The 25,759-nt window shown below is 46.7% G+C and overlaps 5 annotated features.

Annotated features, from left to right (window-relative positions):
* Window positions 18,902-19,687: an enhancer, noted in NCBI's record as "H3K27ac-H3K4me1 hESC enhancer chr2:112459685-112460470 (GRCh37/hg19 assembly coordinates)". NCBI's record gives its function as "activates a minimal SCP1, AML or CMV promoter by ChIP-STARR-seq in primed H9 embryonic stem cells {active_cell/tissue: H9 hESC(primed)}" and the evidence as "EXISTENCE:reporter gene assay evidence [ECO:0000049][PMID:30033119]".
* Window positions 22,044-22,829: an enhancer, noted in NCBI's record as "OCT4-NANOG-H3K27ac-H3K4me1 hESC enhancer chr2:112462827-112463612 (GRCh37/hg19 assembly coordinates)". NCBI's record gives its function as "activates a minimal SCP1, AML or CMV promoter by ChIP-STARR-seq in naive and primed H9 embryonic stem cells {active_cell/tissue: H9 hESC(naive and primed)}" and the evidence as "EXISTENCE:reporter gene assay evidence [ECO:0000049][PMID:30033119]".
* Window positions 22,044-23,613: a biological region, named in NCBI's record as "OCT4-NANOG-H3K27ac-H3K4me1 hESC enhancers GRCh37_chr2:112462827-112463612 and GRCh37_chr2:112463613-112464396".
* Window positions 22,666-22,960: a silencer, noted in NCBI's record as "tiled region #6320; K562 Repressive DNase unmatched - State 9:DNaseU". NCBI's record gives its function as "represses a minimal TATA promoter and a strong SV40 promoter by Sharpr-MPRA in K562 cells {active_cell/tissue: K562}" and the evidence as "EXISTENCE:reporter gene assay evidence [ECO:0000049][PMID:27701403]".
* Window positions 22,830-23,613: an enhancer, noted in NCBI's record as "OCT4-NANOG-H3K27ac-H3K4me1 hESC enhancer chr2:112463613-112464396 (GRCh37/hg19 assembly coordinates)". NCBI's record gives its function as "activates a minimal SCP1, AML or CMV promoter by ChIP-STARR-seq in naive H9 embryonic stem cells {active_cell/tissue: H9 hESC(naive)}" and the evidence as "EXISTENCE:reporter gene assay evidence [ECO:0000049][PMID:30033119]".

The following is a 25,759-nucleotide window of genomic DNA, read 5'->3' on the forward strand; positions in this document are numbered from 1 at the left end:
TCATTCTTGAAGTCAGTGAGACCAAGAACCCACCAATTCCGGACACAATATGGGCCTTAGCAATCACCTCCACATGGCCCCTGCTCTCTGGTCTGTCACTTGGCAATGCTTCTTGCATGCCCCCATAGACCGCGTGTGCTACACCTCCAATGGGAACATATGCCCCAGCTTCAGCATGTCTGCTCACCCTTCCCCAGCTACCCCCTAATCTTCCAACGTGTTAAAGTCTAGATCCCTCAAGGACATGTAAGTCAAGAACTTGACTTGGGTCACTTAAATTGCCCCCTTAAATCCACTCTAAAGTTAGGTCCAGGCATTAACCCATCTAATAGGTAAGAGTGAGGAAAGATGAAGTTACAAACAACTTGAGGTGAACTGTGCCTCCAAATTAAGCCAGTTCTGTTGAAAAGCTTCAACTCGAGATTGGAGAATAAGACATGAATTCTCCCAGAAGTCAGAGATCTGTGCCCCTGTTAAAATACTAAGTTCATCATAATAATTATGGCATAGTAATAATAACGAATGATGTTGGGCTATTCAAAAATGAGGTTAAGCCTTGCGGGTTTACAAGATCATCCATGGAAAGTCCCATCACTGAGATCTCTTCAGAGTCTTGAAAATCCGATCTTAGCCAGGTGCGGTGGCTCACACCTGTAATCCCAGCACTTTGGGAGGCCAAGGCGGGCAGATCACTTGAGGTCATGAGTTTGAGACCAGCCTAGCCAACATGGAGAAACCCCGTCTCTACTAAAAATACAAAGATTAGCTGGGTATGGTGGTGCGCATCTGTAGTCCCAGCTACTTGGGAGGCTGAGGCACAAGAATCACTTGAACCCAGGAGACCGAGGTTTCAGTGAGCCGAGATCACGCCACTACACTCCTGCCTGGGCAACAGAGCGAGACTCCATCTCAAAAACTAAATAAATAAATAAAATAAAGTCCGACCTCATCCAGGTGGGAGTTCCCTAGTGGCTGGAGTTGGGGAGCACAGAGGAATGGAATGTGCACCTGAGGAGTCTTTCTTCAGAGCTCTTCTAAGAAGGACTACCCCCAACATGTCTAGGCAATAAAGCTGAATATCATGCACCTCTTAGCTAAGCAACTAAATCTTTAGAAACCAAAATAACATGTAAGCAAAAGGAAAGTAAACATGCAACATATGACCCCATTCAGACCCGGCTTCAGAGCTCCTACCCCACTCCCCACCCTCACCTCCCTTGGTGAGCTTAAGTGTTTAGCCAAATATTTTCAAACCATATTTTTCCTACTGAGCTGGCCAGAAAAACATAAATATCATACCAGGCACAAATTACTTTAAGGAAATAATAATTCTTCTCTTAACACACAGTCTTTTTTTCTACAAGAAAAATGGAAGAAATCAAATTTTAGATACAAAACCTATGTCTTTCAGGTTCCAGGTACCCTATCTGTGACACTTCTGACCCATCATGTCGATATGAAAGATGAACCCTGCTAAGCCACATGCACAGGGCTGCACCCCCACAAGTGCTGCTAAGGCTGCAAAGTTCCCCTCTTGTGACTGTATTCGTTTTATGTTGGTGCATATCAAATTATCACAAACTTAACAGCTTCACACAACACCCGTTTGTTACATACAGTTTATTAGGTCAGAAGTCTGGGTGTGGTGTGCCTGCATTCTCCCTTCAGGGTCTCATAGGACTGAACTCAAAGCATCAGATGAGCAGTGTTGTTTTCTAGAGGACCAAGGGAAGATTCTGCAAGCTCATTTAAGTTGTTGGATGAATGAATTGTAGAGTGGAAGTCCCTACAGAACCACAAGGAAACTGAACTCTCCTTGTTGGCGGCCATCAATATTCCCTGCCATTTCTTACACCCCAGCAATTGAGTATCTCCCTCGCATCCACCCCTCTTAGATTCCAAATCTCTTGCACCAACAAGAGCCCGGGCCTTTCTAAAGGCTCACCCAATTAGGTCAGGCTCACCCAGGATAGTCTCTTTTCTTTACAGTCAACTTATTTGGGACCTTAACTACATCTGCAAAATCCCTTCATGGCAGCACCTCAATTCGTGTTTGACTGAACAGGTGGGAGAAGCCGTGTGTAAGCCAGGGGGACAAGCATCTTCGGCACCATCTTAGAAGTCCACCTACCACAGTGGTTTAGCCTTGGTTCACAGGCCTCATTGTCTTCTTTATTCCAAAAGAGCAAGAAAGGTTCCCTTTCTTCTAATTATTTCAATATGCTAGAAAATGAAACTTATTTTGGAGCTGACAATCTATTCTGTGGCCAAATTGGCAAAATTTCAGAGACCAAATAAGATCTAGCCTACTCTGAAACCTGTTTGCACAGGGCCTGGTCTTAAAGTATCTTATCAGTTATTGCTATCATCAGAACAGCAGGGCACCTCCAGAGAATTCAGGCCCCATCCCAGACCTGCTCTTCCAGAATCTGCCTGTCAACAAGATTCCTGATCATTCATATGCACTTTCAAGGGTTTTTTGGGGGTTTTTTTCTTAATTTTTTATTATAGGTTATTGGGGAACAGGTGGTGTTTGGTTACATGAGTAAGTTCAATAGTGATTTGAGATTTTAGTGCACCCATCACCCAAGCAGTATACGCCGCACCCAATTTGTAGCCTTTTTTTTTTTTTTGAGACGGAGTCTCGCTCTGTCGCCCAGGCTGGAGTGCAGTGGTGCGATCTCAGCTCACTGCAAGCTCCGCCTCCCGGGTTCACGCCACTCTCCTGCCTCAGCCTCCCGAGTAGCTGGGACTACAGGCACCTGCCACCATGCCCAGCTAATTTTTTGTATTTTTAGAAGAGACGGGGTTTCACCGCATTAGCCAGGATGGTCTCGATCTCCTGACCTTGTGATCCGCCTGCCTCGGCCTCCCAAGGTGCTGGGATTACAGGCGTGAGCCACTGTGCCCGGCCCAATTTGTAGTCTTTTATCCCTCACTCCCTTCCCATTCTTTCCCCGAGTCCCTAAAGTCCATTGTGTCATTCTTGGGCCTTTGCATCCTCGTAGCTTAGCTCCCACTTATGAGTGAGAACATATGATGTTTGGTTTTCCATTCCTGAGTTACTTTGCTTAGAATAATAGTCTCCAACGTCATCCAGGTTGTTGCAAATGCCATTCATTCATTCATTTTATGGCTGAGTAGTATTCCATTGCATACATATACCACAGTTTCTCTATCCACCCATTGATCGATGGGCACTTGGGTTGGTTCCACGTTTTTGCAATTATGAATTGTGCCGCTATAAACATGCATGCCTGTGCACTTTCAGGTTTGAGGAGCATTGGTGTCAACCACATGCCCGAGGACCAGAAATAAGTCATTTTTCTCTGGAAAATGCACTGAAGACGTGGTGAAGATTAAACAGCATGTCACCCCCTCCTCCACACAACTCACATTCATCCCTGCCCAGGCCAAGCCTTGGTAATGGATTAGGTCTATCCTATATCTAGTGTTATGGTTTAAATGCATGCGTACCTTCAAAATTCATATGTTGGAACCTAACCCCCAAGGTAATGGTATTAAGAAGTGGGGTCCTTGGGAGATGATTAGGCCACGAGGGCTCCACTCTAATGGATGGGATTATGCCCTTCTAAAAGAGGCCTCAGAGAGCTGCCGCCCCCATTTTGCCCCTCTACCCTGTAAGGACACCAAGATGCTGCCATCTATAAGGAATAGGCTTTCACCAGACACTGAACCTGCTGACACCTTGATCTTGGACTTCTCAGTCTCCAGGACTGTGAGAAATAAACTTCTATTACCTATAAATTACCCAGTCTGTAGTATTTCTGTGGCCTAAACTAAGACATCTAGCCAAGCTAGAGGACTCTCTTAACTTAGGCAATATTTCCCTAAAATCATTCCCATGTCCTGTGTTGCAGGCCTGAAGCTGGTGACTGAGGTGAGGCAAGTGCAGAGCTGACCCAGTGGGCTGGTTAGGGACCTTCTCTGTGACCCGGCGTAATAAGCACTGCCCTCACAGGGTCATAGGTGAAGCAGCTGGCATGGAATCAGTGCCCAGAGCAGGGCAGAGAGAGAAAGGAGAGTATGACGAGGCCACCTGCTCACTGAATAACTTCTAACAGCTTTCCAAGTCATCTGAGGCTGGTGTTCAGCTCCTCTTTCCAGCACATCTTCTGCCCCAATTAATTCTGGGACCCACCATGTGTCCAGAGAAACGGGCACTCTGGGAAGCAGCCTCTGTCACTGGCCCCTTGGGCCTCTCATCATTACTCCACAGCTGTCTGCATCAGGAACCACAAGTCCATTATTGGGAGGCAGGATGCCTGCACTCTGGAAGCAGCCCTGGGTTCAAATCCTTTCTCACCGCTTTCCAGCCATGTGATAGTTTTGGCACAGTGCTGAAGCTCTCTGACTGATATTTTCCTTGGATACCTAATTCTCTTGGTTTGGCTTTCTCTGCCAGATGGTCATCACTGCCCAGGGCTAGGAGGGCCTTGGTTTTCAACTGCAGCCCCAACTTCTGGTGCTCACTGGGGTCACTCAGGTACACTGATTGATAGAGGAACACTCTCAAGGGTCTCAGATCAGCACTTAACAGTATCACTTCAGCTCACAGCGAATTGGCCAGGACTGGTCACACTCTCCACCCAGCCATGAGGAGCAGGAGGTGCCAGCTGCCACACTAGGAAGTGGAGACTGTCCAGTGAGCACTGCTTATAATTGATGGAGAATGTGAGGATGGTCTCAAGGCCTCCAAAACCCCCCTTTTGGCCTCCCACGTTCTCAAAGCATTCTGAGACGGCAGGACATGATCTGAGGTGCCCTGGAGCCCTCTCTCTAACAGCAGATTTTCTGATGGATAACGAGGGGGCAGGGGTGTGTGTGGACTCAGTTCTTGGGGTGAGCACAGACCGATCTCCAACTCCCCAGGCTCGCCCCAGCACCCGCGGAGCTGCGGGGCCTGTGTTGGCCCGCAGGTTTCCTATTCCATCATCCTGCAAGAAGATGGGGCTTCCCTAACAGAACCCAGACCTGTCACGCTGGTGAGGGGCTTCCCTGGGCCAAGAAGTCCCAGAGCCTGGCTGCTCGGTTTGTCATCTGTCAGAACACCAGCTCTGCTGCAGACTTTGAGGCTGGGCAGCCTGCTTTCTAGTCCCTTTTACTTCCCAGCAGAGTGACTGTGAGCAAGTCACATGACTTTAAAGTGACCAAAAGGTTCACTTGTTGGTCCTCAGTTTCATGAAAGGGCCTTAACAGCATCTCCCTCATAGGGCAGTAGGGAGGGTTCAAAGCCTCAGAGGATTGAAAGAGTCAGAAGACTGAACAGTTGGGGGACTAAATGCACCACGTTTGCTATGGAAACTCTCATCCTAAGAACTCTTGCTGTCACACCTCGGGGAGTGATAGATTGGGATGCAGTTTTTTGGGTGGAGCCAGTATTCCTCCCTGTCCAAACTCTCACTCCCTGTTCTGCATGGGAAACGGAGCAGGCTTGCATTGTGTGCTGCCTGTGTCTGTGAAGTGCTCTGAACCCTGCCTGGCCCCGAGCGTACGCAGCTGTTACTAACTAGTGAGAGAGCTTCCAAAGCACATCCGCCGCTGATGGAGGCACAACAAGGACCTGTTGGTTACTTTTTTTTTTTTTCCCCCAAGTGAGGAACCAGCTTTCGAGTTCTTTCTTATTCTCCAGGGTTCCTATCACTGTGATGTGTACATAAGGGGCAGCTCTGAACTTTTATTTTACAAACAAACTTCCTGACATGGGCCGGTTTGGATTCTTAACTGGGGCTCCTATCATGGATGGAACTGAGTTTGGGATGGTAAGTGCTGTATGCCTCCCAGCTTCGCTCCAAGCCCCGGCTGGGGACACCAGCAACAGCTGGACATCCCAGCCTGGCTGAGGACAGGCCCACCTGACCCCATCACACTCAGGTCCCAGCTATGGATCCAAGAGCCTCCAAGTTCTGCCACCCAGCAAAGGCGCCTGAGTGATTTCCCATGCTGTGGCTCAAGCCCATGGCAATCCAGTGGGGCATGTCCCACCAGAAGCTGTGCCCAGGAGCCTGATGACCACAGACAGTAGACAAAGGGTGCAGAAGACAGAATTTTGCCTTTTGTCCCCATGGTAATTGGGGCTCCTTGTAAAGCTTGTGATACTCCACACCCCATATTTAGTAATTGGCAATGTTTATGCAAGTCATGCTCCAGTACCTTTGCTACAGTGAAGACCAGAGGGCCTTCTAAAGAACCAATTTTTTAGAGAGTATTTTTAATGGTGGTTGTTTTGGTCATTTCAAGCAATATAGGGGAAAAAAATTACCTGTCCAGAAAAACCATTGTAACATGTTGTGATTCAAAGGGCTAATTTTGGATGACCCTCAGAAGTTTCTGGACTTTTACAATGGTCAGGTGTTCTCAGTGGGAAAGAGAGAAGCACCTCTTTAGCAAACAGAGATGATGGCAGGTACAGTCTGCTTTCTGATGCTCTACAAAATGTTTCATTCATGCAAGTGGGTTTTCTCAGGGCAGGGGTGGGAGGAGGCCCCCTCGGAGAAACTTCGAAAATCAGTAGGGCCTTTTCTGTCATCACCATGACAGGGAAGGGACACTGACAGAATTTGGCAGATGCAGTAAGAAATCCAGAACAATCCCTGACAACAAAGAATCATCCCACATCCCAAATGATTTTCAAACATCCTTGTTGACAGCCTCATGGGTAAAAATCTATTAATTACCTGAGCCTGGAACCTAATTCCATTTTATATGTAAACATTGTACGGGGTGTTTTTTACATGGCTTAAAATACACTGAATTTCCCAGGAATGCAACCATTGTACCCATCAAGAGAAGTCTGTATTTTGATTGGTTTGGAACTTTTCTACGAGCCGTTCTCCAGGCTGGACAATCTGATTACAAACAGCATTGCTTTCCAAGTATTTCAGTTGCCAGCACCACACCCCAGCTCCAGTCTGCATTTGTCAGTGACAGTGATTCTACGCTTAGGAGAAAGTCAGTGTGCAGACATCATTCAAAGAATCCTCTCACCAGCCGGGCACACTGTCAAGGGGCTTCTTGGGGTAGTGACTTAGAGACCTAAGTGAGGAAAAGAAAGCTGAAATATTTATCCTAGGTTCTCCAACACTTGAATGTATACCACTGACACAGAGCATAATTGCATCTAAGAGAAAAAAAGTCCATAATATAAAAGTCCCCTTTTGGGACAGGATGATTTGCGTAATCAGCATTCAGGTCATATGGCCTCCAAATCTACTCCAAGATTCTGTCTCCCACACTAAGAAGGACCTAGGCTCAACAAGAGACCTCCCTGGGCCTGAATATCCTTGCAGCTTACAGCTTTGCCATTCTCAGCAACTTCCCTACCTGGCTAAGGTCAAACACTACACCCATAGCCCAGTGACAGAGCCTGGATTTGGCAGCAACCAGTATACCCCTAGTTCTTCTCTCACCTACTGGGTAGAAGCCCCACTGCCCAGTACAGGAGTCAATGGGCCCAGATTCAAGTCTCAGTTCTCCCTTTGCCAGCCAGGTGGCCCCAAACTGAGTCCTCACACTTAGCTTCCATTTCCTGAGAGAACAGCAGTATCTTCCCCATAGGATTCGGTTAGGAGCTGCATGGGGTAAAGCAGTGGTCCCGGGGTCAATGTTAAGAGAAAGAGGTCTCTCCCTTACCAATGATGACCATCCCACTGCTGTGATGTCTGAATTCCACTGTCTTACAGTAGGTTTGGTGTAGCTCTGAGCTCAGGGGCAAGGTGAACCCCTTCCTTTACCTTCTATTCCAAATAACATCTCATCTTGAGGGTCCCTGGTCCAACTTAGAGGCATCCTAACACCCTGCTGGGGTAACACTGGAAGATTTGGCAAGCTTGTCACCCTCACAGTTTCACAAGTATGTGACTCCTCCCTGGGATTCTGCAGCGCTTGCCTGTCCTCAAATCTTCGTTTATAACATTCTCCCACCATGACACTGAGCTCTGCAAGAGAAGGGGCTAAGTCTCGTTACCTTCTGTCTTCCCAGAGCCATCTACACAGTAGGTGTTTAACAAGTGTTGGTTGGATGAATGGATGGTTGAATGGACAGACAGATGAAGGGATGGATAAATGGTAGATGGATGGACAAACAGTGAATAGTTAGATGGATGGACGGATGGATGGATGGATCGATGGACAGATGGATGGATGGATGGATGGATGGATGGATGGATGGATGGATGGACAGATGGACAGATGAATGGATGGATGGATGGTTGGTCGCTAGCTGCAAATACAGCCCAGGTGGGAAGCTACATGCAGGTGAGCATGGTTTCAAAGTGGCTCTCTCTGTTCCCAGGGAAAGAAAGCATCTCTCCTCTCCTGCCTGAGGCCCCCTCTCCCAGGCTCTCCAAAGCAGCTGAGCCAGGAGAAGCTGGTGGTAGTTTGGGTTCATCACAACATCTCAAATCATTTTTCAAACTCTTGGCCCAGCCCCTCAAACTCTTTGCCAAGCACTTTTGTCTTCGGTTTATACACTCTGGGGAAATGTTATCTGAATGTTTCCAATTCATTTATGCTCAGCTCATCAAAATGCCATTTTATAAGAGCTGTCTAAACTCCAAAAGGTCTGGGAAACTTTCCCTTCCTATATTTATATGTGGAGAGCAGCCTGGTTTCTCCTGTTAAATGGAGGCCCTGCTGTGCCACCAGGCCCCACTCACTCTGCTTGCGCCTGGCTGCCCCATGACAACCTGGGGTAACTAAAGCACAGACACAACTCAGGCCATTTCAGGGCAGGAGGGCAGACTGGACACCACCCAGTCCACCTCACCTCCACACCCAACAAAGTCCTCTTGGACCCAGGGAGGAGACTAGGATGCCCAGTGCAAACGTTTTCAGAAAGAATCCTCCTGAGGTCACTGTCCTTAAGCACAAGTGAAGAGCTCAGAATTCTCAGGATCTTCAGGTAAGGAGGGACACACTCACCACATAGAGGCTTAGGGAGTCTCAGCTTCCTCATCCATTTCTTGCTGACAGGGCTTATGAGGTTTTAAACTAGAGAGTACCCTTCAAGCACCCAAAGCCCTGCCAGAGCCAGAGTCCCCTTAAAGAGAGGTCAGGAAGTGCTGGTGGGGGCTGCCTCCTCACCACCTTCAGCTCATTCTGCAGTGCAACCTGGAGTCAGAAAGAGAGTAAATCAACAACACCTACTCTAGCACCCCCTCTCAGCTACTTAGGCTGTTGGCCTCCACCTTCATCCACTCCCGTCTGCAACTCCCTAAAGTGGAGATGGCTTCCTCACCCCACTCACTTCTCCTAAGCCCAGTTCAAGCTTCTCCTGCTGGAGGGTGGAGGAAGAACACCAGAAATCAGAACAAAGCAAAAATCAATAAAACTGAAAACAGAAAAATTAATACAGAAAATCAGTGAAACAAAAAGCTGGTTCTTTGAAAAGATCAATGAAATTGACAAATCTCAAGCAAGAAAAAAGAAAGGGAAAACACAAATCACCAACATCACAAATGAAATCGGAGATAAAGCCATAGCTATTGTAAACACTGCACAGATAATAAAGAAATACTACAAACAACACTACATGCATAAATTTGACAACTTCAGTGAAATAACCCAATTCCTTGAAAAGTACCAACTACCACAACTCACCAAGATGAAATAGAGACTATCAATAGCCCTGAAACTAATAAATAACTAATAATTTTTAAACTGTCTTAAAAAAACTCCAGGCCTAGATGGTTTCACAGAAGGAAATTCTAACAAATATGTTTAAAACACCAATTTTATGCAATTTCTTCCAGAAAATAAAAGAAAGGAATACTTCTCAATTTATTTTATGAATCTAGTATCACCTGATAATAAAACCAAAGACAGTACAAAAAAAACTTAGAAACCAATACCTTTCATTAAGTATAGATGCTAAAATTCTTAACAAAATATTAATAAATAAAATTTAGTAATATATAAAAAGAATTATACCACATGACCAAGTGGGGTTTATTTCAGGGGTGCAAGGTTGGTGCAATACTTGAAAGTCAATCAATGTAATTCACCATCAACAGGAGAAAGAACACAAATCACATGATCATATCAACTGATGTGGAGAAAACATTTGACAGAATTCAATACCCATTCATGACAAAATCTCTCAGAAAACTAGGAATAGATGAGAATATCAACTTGATAAACAACATCCACAAAAACGATGGCTAACACCAAACTTGATGAAAGTGAATGTTTTCCACCTAAGAACAAGGTAAGGATGTCTGCTGTCATGCTATTATCAACTTAGTACTGAAAGTTTTAGTAGCACCATAGGCAAAAAAAAAAAAGTAAATAAAAGGAAAAGGCGTACAGATCAGAAAGAAAAAAAGTAAAGCGTTGCTCTTTGCAGATGACATGATGATGTCCATGGAAAACGCTATGAAATCTACCAAAAAATTAAAACTCCTAGATCCAAAAAATAGTGATGAAAGAAATCAAAGAACTAAACAAATAGATATACTATGTTCATGAATTGTAATAAACAACATAGTAAAGTTGCCAATTCTCCCAGATAGATGTACAGGTTTAAATAATTTCTATTGAAATCCTAGAAAGATATTTTTAAATATAAATAAGGTTATTCTACGACTTATATGGAAAATCAAATAAACTAGAATAGCTAAAACAATTTCAAAAAATAAAATGGGAGGAGTCCCTTGGCCCAATTTTAAGAGTTATTGTATAGTTCAGTAATGAAGACTGTGTGATATTGGCAGGAAAATAAATGCACAGACCAATGAAACAGAAGAGAAAGCCAACTGATTTTTGATAATGGTTCAAAAGCAATTCTATGGAAGAAGAGTAGTCTTTTCAATAAATGATGCTGGAGTAAGGGGATGTTCAATGGCAAAAGGAAGGAAGGAAGAGGGAAGGAAGGAAGGAAGGAAGGAAAGAAGGAAGGAAGGAAAATTTTTTACTTACACCTCATTTTTTACACAAAAATTAACTCAAAAAGAGATCATATATTTGAATATAAAATGTAAACTATGGGCCAGGCATGGTGGCTCATGCCTGTAATCCCAGCACTTTGGGAGGCTGAGGTAGGTGGATTCCCTGAGGTCAGGAGTTCAAGACCAGCCTGGCCAACATGGCAACACCCCATCTCTACTAAAAATACAAAAATTAGCCAGGTGTGATGGTGTGTGACTGTAGTCCCAGCTACTCTACTCAGGAGGCTGAGGCAGGAAAATTGCTTGAACTCGAGAGCCAGAGGTTGCAGTGAGCAGAGATCGTGCCACTGCACTCCAACCTGGGTAACAGAGCGAGACTCCATCTCAAAAAAATAAATAAATAAAAAATAAAATAAAATAAATAAAATGTAAATTATGAAACCTTTAGAAGAATACCTGGGGGAGATCTTCAGAACACAGGGCTTGGTAAACAGTCCTTAAACTTGATACCAAAGCATAACCCATAAAGGAAAATAAATGACAAATCAGACTTTATCAAAGTTAAAGCTATTGCTCTGTGAAAGACCTTGGTAAAAAGATGAAAAGACAAACCACAGTCTATGTATTAGTGCTCCGTTGCTTCCATAACAAATTACCACAAATTTGGCAGCTTGAAACACCCATTTATTATCTCACATTTCTGTAAGTCAGAAATCTGGCAGGCTCAACTGGTTTCTTTGTTCCTAATCTCCCATAGCAGGAAGGTTGTGTGCCTTTCTGGGGGCTCTGGTGATTAATACACTTTCAGGCTTATTCTGGTTGTTGGCAGAGTTCAGTTCCACGCAGTCATAGGATTGAGGTTCCCATTTTCCTACTGGCTGGCAGCCCAGGTTTATTCTGAGCTTCTAGGCTCTTCCCGCATTCCTTGGCTCCTGCCTTACTTCCTCCATCTTGAAGTCATCAGTGGTGGGTTGAGTCCTTTCTCACTCTTGGAATTACTCTGACCTCCTCTTCTGCCTCATCTCTTCTGTTTTCCTCATTCAGATAATTCAAGAAAATCTTCCTATTTTGAAGTCAGCTGCTTAGTAACCTTAATTGCATCTGAAAATCCCTCACAGCAGTAGATCCGTGTTTGACTGAATAGGGGATAAGGTTCTTGGGGAACATTTAAAAGTTAATCCTATCACAGACTTGGAGAAATAATTTGCAAACCATATTTGTGACAAAGAGCTTATATCTAAAATATATTTTTTAACTCTTGAAAAACAGGAAAAAATTCAATTAAAAAATGGGCAAAGAGTTGACTGCAGGACAGTTTACAAATGCCAAATAAGCACACGAAAACATGTTCCGCATTACAAGTTGATATAGTTTAGATATTTGTACCCTCGAAATCTCATGTTGAAATGCAATTCCTGATGGAGGTAGGGCCTGGTGGGAGGTTTTGGGTCATGGTGGCAGATCCCTCATAAACGGCTGGGTGATGGGTGAGTTCTTGCTCTGTGAGTTCACACAACAGCTGGTTGTTTAAAAGAGCCTGGCATCTCTCTTGCTTCCTCTCTTGCCATGTGACACACTAGCTCCCTTTTCACTTTCTGCCACGGCTAAAAGCTTCCTAAAGCCTCACCAGAAGAAAATGCCGCACCATACCTCCTGTACAGCCTGCAGAACTGTGAGCCAAAATAAACCTCTTTTCTTTACAAATTACCCATCCTCAGGTAGTCCTTTATAGCAATGCAAACTAACTAACACACAAGCCATCAGGGAAATGCACATTAAAACCAATGATGATGTGATATCACGACGTACCTATTAGAACCTCTAAAATAAAAGTAGTAACAATGGCAAATGCTGATAAAGATGTGGAGAAACTGGGTCTCTCCCACATTGCCAGTAGGAACATAAAAATCTACAGCCACTCTGGGGAATAGTTTGGCAGTTTCTTAAAAAGCTAAACATACCCTTACCTTATAACACAGTAATTGCAATTCTGGGTATTTATCCCAGAGAAATAAAAACTTATGTCTGCACAAAAACCTTTATACAAATATTCATTGTTACTTTATTTATAATAATAGCCAAAAACTGGAAACAACCAAAATATCCTTCAATGAGTGAATAGTTGAGCAAACTGTAGTATATCCATGCCATGGATGTATTAGTCAGGGTTCTCTAGAGAAACAGAACCAATAGGTGTGCATCTGCATGCATGTGCGAGCGTGTGTGTGTGTGTGTAAAGAGAGAGAGAGATTTATTTTAAGAATTGCCTCACATGATTATGGAGGCTGGCAAGCCCAAAATCTGCAAGGTAGGCTGCCAGGCTGGAATGAGTTGAGGTTGCAGCTCAAGTCTCAAAGCAGTCAGCTGGCAGAATTCCCTCTTCCTTGGGTAACATCAGTCTTTGTTCTATTAAGGCCTTCAAATGATTGGATGAGGCCCACCCACATTATAGAGAATAGTCTGCTTTACTCAAAGTCTACCGATGTAAATGTTAATCTCATCTTAAAAATACTTTCACAGAGACCGGGCGCAGTGGCTCACGCCTGTAATCCCAGCACTTTGGGAGGCCGATGTGGGTGGATCACGAGGTCAGGAGATTAAGACCATCCTGACTAAAGTGGTGAAACCCCGTCTCTATTAAAAAATACAAAAAATTAGGCAGGCGTGGGCTGGGCACGGTGGCTGACGCCTGTAATTCCAGCACTTTGGGAGGCCGAGGTGGGCGGATCACAAGGTCAGGAGATCAAGACCATCCTAACACGGTGAAACCCCGTCTCTACTAAAAATACAAAAAATTAGCCTGGCGCAGTGGCGGGCGCGTGTAGTCCCAGCTACCTCAGGAAGCTGAGGCAGGAGAATGGTGTGAACCCCGGAGGCAGAGCTTGCAATGAGCCGAGATTGCGCCACTGCACTCCAGCCTGGGCAACAGAGCGAGACTCTGTCTCAAAAAAAAAAAAAAAAATACTTTCACAGAAACATCCAGAATAACGCATGACCAAATATCTGGGTACCATGACCTAGCCAAGTTGGCACATAAAATTAATGACCACCATGGCGTACTACTCAGCAACAAAAAAGAATGGACTATTGATATATGCCACAACTTGGATGGGTCTCTAGGGAATCCTGCTGAGTGAAAAAAAACAAAAAAACAAAAAACCCAGTCTCCAGCTGGGCATGGTGGCTCACACCTGTAATTCAAGCACTTTGGGAGGCCAAGGCCGGCAGATCACTTGAGGCCAGGAGTTTGAGACCAGCCTGGCCAACATGATGAAACCCCATCTCTACTGAAAATACTATATAAAAATTAGCCAAGAGTGGTGGCACATGCCTGTAATCCCAGCTACTTGAGAGACTGAGGCACGAGAGTTGCTTTAACCCAGGAGGCAGAGGTTGCAGTGAGTCAAGATCACGCCACTGCACTCCAGCCTGGGCAACAGAGCCAGACTCTGTCTCAAATAAATAAATTAATTAAATAAAATCCAGCCTCAAAAGGTCATATATTGTGTGATTCCATTTATATAACATTTCTAAAATATAGACACGGAGAACAGATTAGTGGTTACGGGGGTTGGGGACGATGGGGGCGGAGGGGGTGTGACTGCGGAGGGGAAGCGCAGTGTCCCTTTGTGGCGACGAATCAGTTCTGTGTCCTGATTGTGGTAGTGGTTTCAGTGCTCTCCACATGTAATAAAATGTCATAAAACTATACACACACAATATACCAATGCCAGGTTCCTGGTTTGGGTACTGTACTATAATTATATAAGATATAACCAATGGGGGAACCTGGGTGGAGGGTACCCAGGACCTCTCTGTACTATGTTTACAACTTCATATGAGTCTATAATTATTTCAAAGTAAAAATTTAAAAAAACAAGAAGATACATAGCAGAGAGTCAATATACACATTTTCAACAATAAACATGTAGACCTCCTGAAAAAAACAAGCTTTTTTTTTTCCTTTTCCTCTTAACAAGGATGTGCACAACTTTTCCCTTGGAAGGAACTTAGACACACACCAATTAACCCCGTGATGCCTGTCAGTAATGTTGGAGGAAGAGAGACAGGGCCTCTCAGGTGCAAGAATTAGGATGTCCCCAGCCTGAATGCCAAGAAACTCCTGTGGCAGCCAAGCCCCCAGGGTGTCAGACCCCTGAAGGGAAGTCTGAGCTCCTCTTTCTTTCCTTAAGTGATCCTGGGAGAGGTCACAGGGCAGCAGGGCCGGGAAAATGGCACGTGGAAAGCGGTCACTTCAGAACCAGAAGGTGTTCTTTTCCATCTCATCACCTTCTTAAGACAAACCACTTTCCCTCCTTTTCAGTTCTATCTGAACCAACAGCTACAAATAAATAAACACCACTGTTTGCAAAGGCCACAGAGATTAATATTATTATTAATATTAATAGTATTAATGGAGTCTAATCATAGTAAATACATAGAGATGAAAGATCTTTCCCAAAGCAAGTTATTGATAACTATTAGGGTTGACAACTGAAAGATACATTTGCAATTTATTTTTGAAGCCACATAGATTCATTTCAGCCGACCCTCTAGTTATGGGACTAGACCACATTCAAGTTGCCTTTCAAATAGTACTGTAAAATTAAAATTTAAAAAGCATGTAGACGTGACTTTAAGGGACACTCAAGGAACTACCAAACAAGAGCTCGGCAGCCAACACCCTTTAGTGAAAAGGGTAGGACAGTTTGGGGTTGGCACCTGGGAAAATGGTCCACATGATGACCTTTGCAGGGGTGCTGCCCTGTCCTGTTCCCAGCAGCCTCGCCCCCTTTCTTGCCCGGCTCGCTCCTCCTCCTCCTCTGACCCTGTCAGTCAGGCGTTAACTGACCTTCCCAGGGCTGGGCACCTTCTATAGGAGCTTCCTCCCCTTCTCCCCGTCCATGGGAATGAGTCAGCAGGGTTTGGTTGGCTCCACTTCCTGCCTGTGGTTATTATAGCTGACTCATCAGACCATCCTGGGTACACAGTTCAGAGTCTTGATGCAATTCACTTCACGTTAGATCATATTTCTCTCCGTCATTAAATATTCTTGGAAAACATGATTTTCAATGGCTGCAAATATTGCCAGGACCATCTGCTTGCTGAATGCTGGTGTGCGAGCTGGCAGAACCTCCATGTGCTCCAGGTCTCTGATCCATACGTGGAGAACGCACACCCACATGTGGCCATTTGCTGGTATTCCGTCACTCACTAAGTCCCCAGCAGAGCTACTGCTCTGAGTCTAAGCATCTAAGTATCAAAACATGATACACACACACACACACACACACACACACACAGCCCTAAAACAAATGTTACTGTGATCCTGAAGCCACTTGTTTAAAGAAGTTTACTTTCTTTTCCACCTGAACAGTGATAGACAGCCAGTGTGCAAGTTCAAGGAGATAATATTAAAGAATTATTGGATCATAGATGTTTTGAAATAATTATGCTCACCACACATAAGATTCATTCAATAGGCATTACATGCCCAAAACACATAACAATCTAAAGGCTTTAAAATAAGGCAGTTTAGGCCAGGTGAGGTGGCTCACACCTGTAATCCCAGCACTTTGGGAGTCCGAGGTGGGTGGATCACAAGGTCAGGAGATCAAGACCATCCTGGCTAATATGGTGCCTGTAGTCCCAGCTACTTGGGAGGCTGAGGCAGGAGAATTGCTTGAACTTGGGAGGCGGAAGTTGCAGTGAGCTGAGATTGCGCCACTGTACTCCAGCCTGGGTGACAGAGCAAGACTACATCTCAAAATAATAATAATAATAATAATAAATAAAAAAATAAACAGAATAAGTCAGTTTTCTACCTATCTGAATAGATACTGTAATGTTAAAATTATCACCACAAAGTTCCTCACCTTTTAGGAACTCGAGCTGGTAAGGGTGAGGTGGACTTTTATAAACCCTCAGGACAGTGGCTGGGCGGAGACTTTCTTCACACAGTCCATCTTCTGGACTAAAGAAGAGAGGCCGGGCGCGGTGGCTCACGCCTGTAATCCCAGCACTTTGGGAGGCCAAGGCAGGTGGATCACCTGAGGTCAAGAGTTCAAGACCAGCCTGACCAACATGGTGAAACCCCATCTCTACTAAAAATACAAAAAAGTTAGCTGGCCATGGTGGTGGACACCTGTAGTCCCAGCTACTTGGGAGACGGAGGCAGAAGAATGGCGTGAACCCAGGAGGCAGAGGTTGCAGTGAGCAGAGATCAAGCCACTGCACTCCAGCCTGGGCGACAGAGTAAGACTCCATCTCAAAAAAAAAAAAAAAAAAAAAAGGAGAAGAAGAGAAAGGACACACTATTCCTCCTAGAGCATGCATTAATGATTATGAGAAAGCCAGACAAGAATAATAATATTCTTGTTTGTTAAGCATGTACTAGGTCCCAGGCACTACACAAAGCACTTTTACAGAAAGCTATCATCCCCGCTTTGTGGTAGTATTTTTGGCCCAAAATGGCAAGGAAATAGCTACTTCACTGCATAATGCAAGAGCTCAGATTCAAGAGTACAGAAGAGCCCGTGGAGCTGGCCAACCACATGGAGGTGCCCAAGCCCCCTGCCCTCCATGTGGGTGTTTCCTGGTCAAAGGCATGAGAAATCTGCAACTGTTTCCATTACTGGTTGTTCATGGGAGCTTTCCTGCCAGGTTTTGCTTTATTTATTTATTTATTTTGAGATGGAGTCTTACTCTGTTGCCCAGACTGGAGTGCAGTGGTGTGATCTTGGCTCACTGCAACCTCTGCCACCCGGGTTCAAGGCATTCTCCCACCTCAGCCTCCCGAGTAGGTGGGATTACGGGTGCCTGCCACGATGCCTGGCTAATTTTTGTATTTTCAGCAGAGACAGGGTTTCACCATGTTGGCCAGGCTGGTCTCAAACTCCTGACCTCAAGTGATCTGCACACCTCAGCCTCCTAAAGTGCTGGGATTACAGGTGTAAGCCACCGCACCTGGCCTAGGTTTTGCCCTTCTCAACCATGTGTCTACCAGTAAGCCTGGGCAGATGAAAGAGGAAGCATTACAGTTTCCTTCTCCCTGACTGGTCTATGGCAGATTGTGTTTCCAAAGGTAGCCTCAGAATACCTCCCATCCCACATGCTATTCTAGAAACTCATCTTCCTCCACCAAGAGCTAGAATCTAATTCCCTATGTCTTGAATCTGGAAAGGTTTGGGACTTGCCTGCAACCAAAAGAATGTAGCCAGTGTTTCACATGACTTCCAAGGTTGGGTCATAAAATGAGATGCAGTCTCCACCTTGGTATTTGCAATCTTGAGCCCCAAGTAAGAAATCTGACACCCACTCCTGCCCTGAGGCTACAGTGCTGAGAGAAGGCCCAGGCCACACGCAGGTGTGCTGGCAGCCTGCTCCAACCGAAGTCCCAGCTGATAACTGGCATGAAGTGCCATAAGTGCAAGGGAGCCTTGGAGGACTCCAGGCCTCAGCCTTTGCACCTCACCTGACACTTTGCGCCTCACCAGCTGAGGTCCTGGACACCATGGAGCAGAGACTGGCCAATGAGATCAGTGCAACTCGTAAAATGTGACTGCAATAAGGACATGGATGATACTCATGAATGAGTGGAGACACTTCTAAGAGTATTTCTGATTAGCCAGAGCTCAAGAAAACTTACATTTCCCTGAAATCTTACAACTCATGTGAGAGAACACTTGATGAACATAAGGACTAGATAACCCCAAACTTGGAAAGCTCACCGCTCTGTGGAAAAGCTGGATTCTAGAACTTGGTTGGTCCCAGAGGGCGAACTGGAGGCTCCTAGCATCACCCTCAAGTCTTGGGCTCGGAACTGCCAAAGGGGAGAATTGAGTCTGCCAAGTCCCGTTTGGAAGGTTACGCCCCGGCCCAAAGGTCCAGCAGACGGCAGGCAAGAAATGGGCTGTCAAAAGAGACTGGTTCTGCCACAGATGTCCTTTTCCCTCAGAAAGAAAACAGAGAAGGGCCCTGGCACTTCTTCCCGGTGGTGAGATGCGTGGTGGGTGAGAGAGAAGAGAGGAGGAGAGAGAGAGAGAGAGGGAGAGAGTTCATGACAGCAACATGGTGGCCATGGTCGCTCATAAGTTGAGCCAACATGCATCAGGCCCTCAACAGTCTCTCTGGTCAGACAAAACACAGCACCTCCCTGGGGGCAAGTCAGAAAATTGGGTGCAGAAAAACAAAGTGTTCAGCCCAACACTGCCCCTCCGTGGTAGGGGAGAGGAAATTCCCTTCACAGGAACTGAGAACAAGGAAAGACAATTCCCCACCCACACCAGATGAAAGGTGCGGTCGGTCCACCTTCTCTCCCAGGCCCTTGTGTTAGAGCAGTTTTCACAGCTCCCTCTCTGTGTGAGCACAAAGGAAGGGAGGCCCCAAGAATGAAGAACCCCTCCCACGTGTCCACAGCTGGTGGACTCCTGATGGCTGCGGGGAGAGACACTCAGCTTCAGCCCACGACTTCTCGCTCCCTCCGGAAGGCAGACTTGGAGGACAGGCCAGGCCAGGCTCCCCTCCCCGGACCACATGCATCTTCGCACAGAGCGAGATCATGTTCTGGTGAAGTGCGGACTGTGGAGGAAGGAAAGGTCAGGGTCATTCGATGTTGGGAGAGAGAAAAAGGGACTCAGTGTCCATCTCCAGGAAGTGAGAGGACAATGGAGCACAGGCAGTAAAGCATGGTCCTGGTTTCCAAGGAAGTCGGTAAACAGAGGAGGAGGGGCACCAGACTGCTCTGTGGGGTCTCCCCTCCTCCTGATCTCTCTTCTAGGCACCAACCCGCCACACTTTGTGCCCAAGTCTGATAGATGGGAAGATCGACCTGGGCAGGTAAGTGGCAGACATGCTGGGGTGACTGTATTCCTGGAGCCACTGCCAGATGGATAAACAAAAACCAAGGACTGGATTTTAAACATAAAAGAGCTGGCAGGGCGCAGTGGCTCACACCTGTAATCCCAACACTTTGGGAGGCTGAGGTGAGCGAATTGCTTGAGCCCAGGAATTCGAGACCAGCCTGGGCAACATGGCAAGACCCTGTCTCTACAAAAAAATACAAAAATTCACCGGGTGTGGTGGTGCACATCTGTAGTCCCAGCTACTCGGGAGGCTGAGGTGGGAGGATCGCTTGAACCTGGGAGACCGAGGCTGCAGTGAGCTATGATCACACCACACTGCACTCTAGCCCAGGCCACAGAGTGAGACCCTGTCTCAAAAAAAAAAAAAGAAAGAAAGAAAGAGAAAAGAGTAAATGCTTCTCTTCTGTTGGTAGTTCCTGAATGCCCCTGTCATCCCCATCTCCACTTCCCTAAGAACCTTCAGGCTCCGGGAAGCTTGACAGCAGCTCCTGTCACGATGCCTCATTTCATCCACTACCAGCCACAGATACATCCCTGTGAACCTGGCACAGTTTCCTGTATACGGTAGGCACTCAATTCATGCTAGTCAAATCAACAAACCTTAGGAGTGGCCTGTGTGGATTTTAGGACCCTTGTCCCCCTCTAATCCTGGATTCTCATTGTCCCTGCACAGACAACAAATGCCTCCTAGGCATTCAGAGGCTGAGCAGAGCCAACTCTGCCTCGGTGAGTAGTGAGCGTGGCCAGCAGGGCAGACATCCACCAGCCATCCTCACTCAGGCCCTTGGAAGCCTGTGGGCTCCCGGCACCTTCCCTGTGCCAGGAGCCCTGAGCCCTGGGCTTCCCCAGCCAGACAATAAGCCACCCTTGTCTCTTCACCATGGGCCTCTGCAAAGCACAGGCACTCCCCAAGTGTGGGAATTGCAGAGATGGAAGGAGTCTCTCATTTGCCTCAAGGGCAGTTGCGACTGGCGTGCGGCCTGTCCTGATGAAGTTTCACCCTTCTGGCGAGGACATGCTGGTGAGGACATCAATTTAGCCACAAGCCAACTTGCTTGGTCATTTATGACAGCTGGCTTTGCCCAGATGGCTCAGGGCTCACCTGCAGCCACTGTTAGGGGACCTACAAGGCACCAGCTTCAACTTCCCTTCACACAGGCAATTCACACCTCAGGGAGGCCCAGGGAAGGGCCCACGAACACCCTATCTGATATACATAAGGAATCGGAGGTGAGGATGTCTCCTGAAGTGACGGGTGATGCACTCTCAGGCTTTCCACCCTGGACTGCCTCTTCTTCAAAAAGAATAAAACAGATTAATCCAACAGATGAACTGTCTGCTGGGATCTGGGCATGTCCACAGTACTGGGGACACAGCAAGATACAGAGCAAAGTCTGCCTGCAGCGACTGCACTCGCCCACCTTTGCAACTGGTGCCTCCTGGAGAGCAGTTGGTTGCAGTGAGGTGCTGACCACCTCCCTCAGAAATGACTTCAGCAACAATCACCCCGAGTGTCTGACTCACCGGCTGCTCTGGTTCTTCCCTGCCAGCCGCAGTGGCACAGCAAGGCAGCAAATCTTTGGAGCTCTCGGCCATACAGGACAGAGCACAAGTACCCCATGATTTCCAGGAATTCCCACAGCCTTGGGGTCTGGTTTGGTGAAAGGGGATGGGGAAGGCTATGCCCTGAGCAATCACTATTCGGCATTACAGTCACCTGTGCTCCAAGCTGCAGAATACAGCCCCACTCCTGTTTTTGTTTTTTCTTTTAAAAAACACTTTGTTTTTCTCCACCCAATTTTCTTTTTAAAAATTTTTTTAAAGAAATTAAAAAAAAAAAAAAAAAAGAGCAGGCTGGGCGTGGTGGCTCATGTCTGTAATCCCAGCACTTTGGGAGGCCAAGGCAGGAGGATCACTTGAGCCAAGGAGTCAGAGATCAGCCTGGGCAACATAGTGTGACCCCATCTCTACAAAAAACTGAAAAATTAGCCGGCACATGCCTGTCGTTTCAGCTACTTGGGAGGCTGAGGTGGGAGAATCGCTTGAGCCCAGGAAGTCAATGCGGCGGTAAGTTGCTGCGTTCGTGCCGCTGCACTCCAGCCTGGGTGACAAGAGCAAGAAACTGTCTCAAAAAAAAGAGAAAAAAAAGAGTTCCTGGTCTGTTTTTCTGGCAGATCCCAGCCATGTCCAGGCCCAAGGCCCAGGACTCAAACTGGTGCCTCCATTTCCTTTGATCCCTGTGCAGAATTGCACAGACTTGCTTTGAGCCAGATTCCCATTTCTGATAGTCTTTGCAGAAAGCCTGAAACTCATCCTTTAAGGCCTAAGGACTTGAGGGAAGCCTTCAGCACCTGCAGCTGGGGAGGCAGGAGTTCTTGTCAGTCTCTTGGTACTGGTAACGGGCAGTGCACACGTTGACGTTAATGAGACTTAAAAAGCTGCAGCATCTGGCTGCCTGGCCAGGTGGAAAGAAAACCCACAGCAGCATGTGGACGAAGGCACTGCCTCTATTTCCCTCCAGAAAGCAACACAACTCAGGTGAGAGCTGCCGGCTCACCTGGCTACACATACAAAAGCAAAGCCAAGATCCAAGCACACACGCTTATTCCAAGGTGGAAGTTCATCTCCAAAGCTGTGCAGGAGGGTGCTAGGGGCTGGCGCAGTAAGTAAGCAATTCAAATTAATGAATTGGCTGATTGACTCCAAGTTCGATTTAAATTCACAACAACCAGGTTCTGTATTTGTGCTCAGGGATGCCCCATCCCTCTCACGGGACTGGCTTCCGGCTTCTTCCAGGGTTTGCTCCTTATTCCAGTTAGGTATTCAGTGTCGCCAAGCCAGGGCAGCCTCGTGACTACAGTGAGTTGCTAACAGCAGGGCAGCACTGTTTCAAACAGACACCCAAACACCTGTTTTTCTTGTTAAGTAAAAACAAGTTAATAGTCACAGCAAAACCATGAAAGAAAACCACAAGTGACCTAAGGATTTCTGACTCACCCCCAGCCTGGGTACTTTGTGATATTCCACCAAAAGCATCAGCCACCTGCAGCTGCCCTGAGAACTGCTGATCAGCAGTCCTTTTGTCTCTCCAAGTCAGGGTAATTACCCATGTGTGCCCTGCCCCCAGATGGCTCTTGCCTTCAGAAAAAAAGAACAGAGAAAAAAAAACGAAAACCACCTTCCCTCTAAGCCCAAGTGACTAAGAAAAGCTGGCAGGGACCCTCCCTCAGACCATAATGGTGGGAAACCTCTTGCAAAACAGTTTTCTCTGCAAGATAAACTGTCTGTTCCCAGCAGCCAAGTGCCACACCCGAGAGAGGGTGAGAGGTTTCCTTTAAGAAGCCTCCAGAAAACATCATGAACAGTTGCTCCCCTATGCACTAGGAATAACTGTGAAGAGTTACACCCTAATAAAGATTTTTTTGTTCTTTTTTTATTTTAAGTGTAGCCTCCAGGATAGGCCCAGCATCTGCACTATTCTAGAAACCAGTGCTATGGAGCTCCAGCTCAGCCTAGACCTGGTAACCTCCTATGGGCAGAGGGACGGCCACACACCAGGCCCTGTCCCTGTTTGATCACTTACTGTCACAAGTCTAGCTGTCCAAGGGGGCGCAGGGACCTGTCAGGCCTCATAGCCATTCTAGAAGAGGTGGCCCACGTGAAAGTTGTCATGCTCTGTGTCACATAGCTCAGGTCTTGTGGTCCCACCTGGAAGGAACTGGGACTGGGCTGCAAGCCAAGGCTGCCTTCTATAGGCTGAACCATGCACAAGCGGCAGTAGGCTATGAGTTGCCTGTTCCCAAATGGTACCCACTAGGCTGCCTTGCCAGGGACTGGGACCCTCTGACCCCACCAGAGTCTCCTTCTCAGCAAGGGCAGGCGAGGGGACAGCCCCACTTCATCTGCCCGCAATACCCTTGTGCCTCCTGAGCCTCCATCCACCTGCAAGTGCTGTGCCCTGTGCCCGGCTGGGCTCCCTATGAGCCCAGGGAACACCTCTGCCCTCTAAACGACCGCCAGTGGGCACAGTGTTCAGGCCATGCTGCCAAGGCAGCAGCTAGGAATTCAGGAATTCAGAGAAGATGCGAAGGACAGAAATATGAAGGGACTGCTGGGGCACCAAGGTGAGGAGGGACAGGGTTGCCAAACCCCATGTGTAGGAGCCACTGTGCATCCTGCCCGTGGGACAAGCACCACCTGAAGACGCAAGAAGACCTCCCTCAGTTCGAGGGAAAATATCTCCCCCAAAGGCCCCCATACATACTGAAAATCTCTTATGATAATCACCCCTAGTGATTCTAGGTCACTGCCTCTGCTCCTGGATTGCTCAATCTGTGGGACGAGGCACATGGAAGGTAACATTCATTTAGCAACTCCCAAGCTTTTCTTTTTTTTTTTAGACCGAATCTTGCTCTGTCACCCAGGCTGGAATGCAGTGGCACAGTCTCGGCTCACTACAACCTCCACCTCCTGGGTTCAAGCGATTCTCCTGCCTCAGCCTCCCAAGTAGCTGGGATTACAGGCGTGTGCCACCATGCACAGCTAATTTTTGTATTTTAGTAGAGACAGGGTTTCACCATGTTGGCCAGGCTGGTCTTGAACTCCTGGCCTCAAGTGATCCACCCACCTCAGCCTCATAAAGTGCTGGGATGACAGGCGTGACCCACCGTGCCCAGCCCTCCTAAGTTTTTCAGTACACTTCCAATATCAACTTTTCCATCAGTGATTCCAACCACTCAAAAGGTGGACAGCCTGTAAGCCCATTTTATAGATGAAGGATGTGATGATGAGTGAGATTAAGTAATGTCTGCAGAGCCACCGAAGCCCAGATTCAACCCCACGGACATCAGCCACGACAGCCCATGGCTCTGTGGTGTCACACACCTGCAGCAGGACACTGTTTCTCACATTTCTACTGGCACCTGGCACCGGGCAGATGCCAGCCTGGGGGACAAGGCACCTGGAGCGTCTAATGCTTGACCTTCTGCCCTGGTCCTGGGCCCTCAGCTGTCTTGGGAAGAGGTGGCAATGGATGCCTGGTAGAGGTTTTGACCCCTGGAGGGTGCTCTTTGGACACCTCCTGGGGTGACATTCGTCACTTCATTTCATTTCAGCATCACGAACATTGGCTGAGCGTATGGCTGGCTCCAGGCATCGTGTTTTTAGCTAAGACCTTTCTACAAATCTTTTTTATGGTTATTTAAAGAAATAAACCTAAATTTGAGGATCATTATGTTCTGCTTCACTGGCACTCAGAATCTACTTCACCCAGGAGCTCAGAACTCAGCAGTTAGCAAGAAAAGTAGCCTCTGAACCCGAACAAAAGAGAAACATTACTGCAGAAAGCCAATACTTCCTCTCAGGACACCCTAAGGACTGCCTTCCCAGAGTCTGTGTACTTACAATTACGTGTAAAGTGACAATTTTGATGTTCTTCAGAGAGAGAGTCCAGCCTGACCTGAGCACGCTTGGAACCTGCTGGCTGTTAACTGGGTACAGAGAAAAGTCAGAAGAAACGTCAGGAATTCAGGAGTCCACACACCTGCTGGATGTTACTGCTCACCACAGCTTGGGTGATAGGCATTGGGTCATTATGGTTCCCATCAGATCTGACACAGGTGCATTCTCAACACTCATTCATTCCCTTCCTCCGTTGTGGCCTACGGCTCTGTAAGCAACAAGTCAAATCTCAACCTCTCTCTTCATCTCATAAATCACAGAAAGAATGTGCAATGAATAAATGGCCTCCTCTCACCTCCACAGCCCCCAGCTGAGGTTGCTGGCAGTTGCTGGCAGCCTCAGGCATGTGTCTTTGGAAGAACTATTCTGGAAAACAATTTGGCAATCTGGGTTTCAGGCCTTTATAATAAAGGAATTTATATCCCTCCACCTGGCAATAACCCTTCTGGCAAACCATGGGAAGGAAGGAGTCAGAAACTTGGACTTCTTTTTAAAGATGTTCATTGAAGCTTTATATATAGTTGTAAA

This window comes from Homo sapiens, chromosome 2, assembly GCF_000001405.40.
Source record: "Homo sapiens chromosome 2, GRCh38.p14 Primary Assembly".
Lineage (NCBI taxonomy): Eukaryota > Metazoa > Chordata > Mammalia > Primates > Hominidae > Homo > Homo sapiens.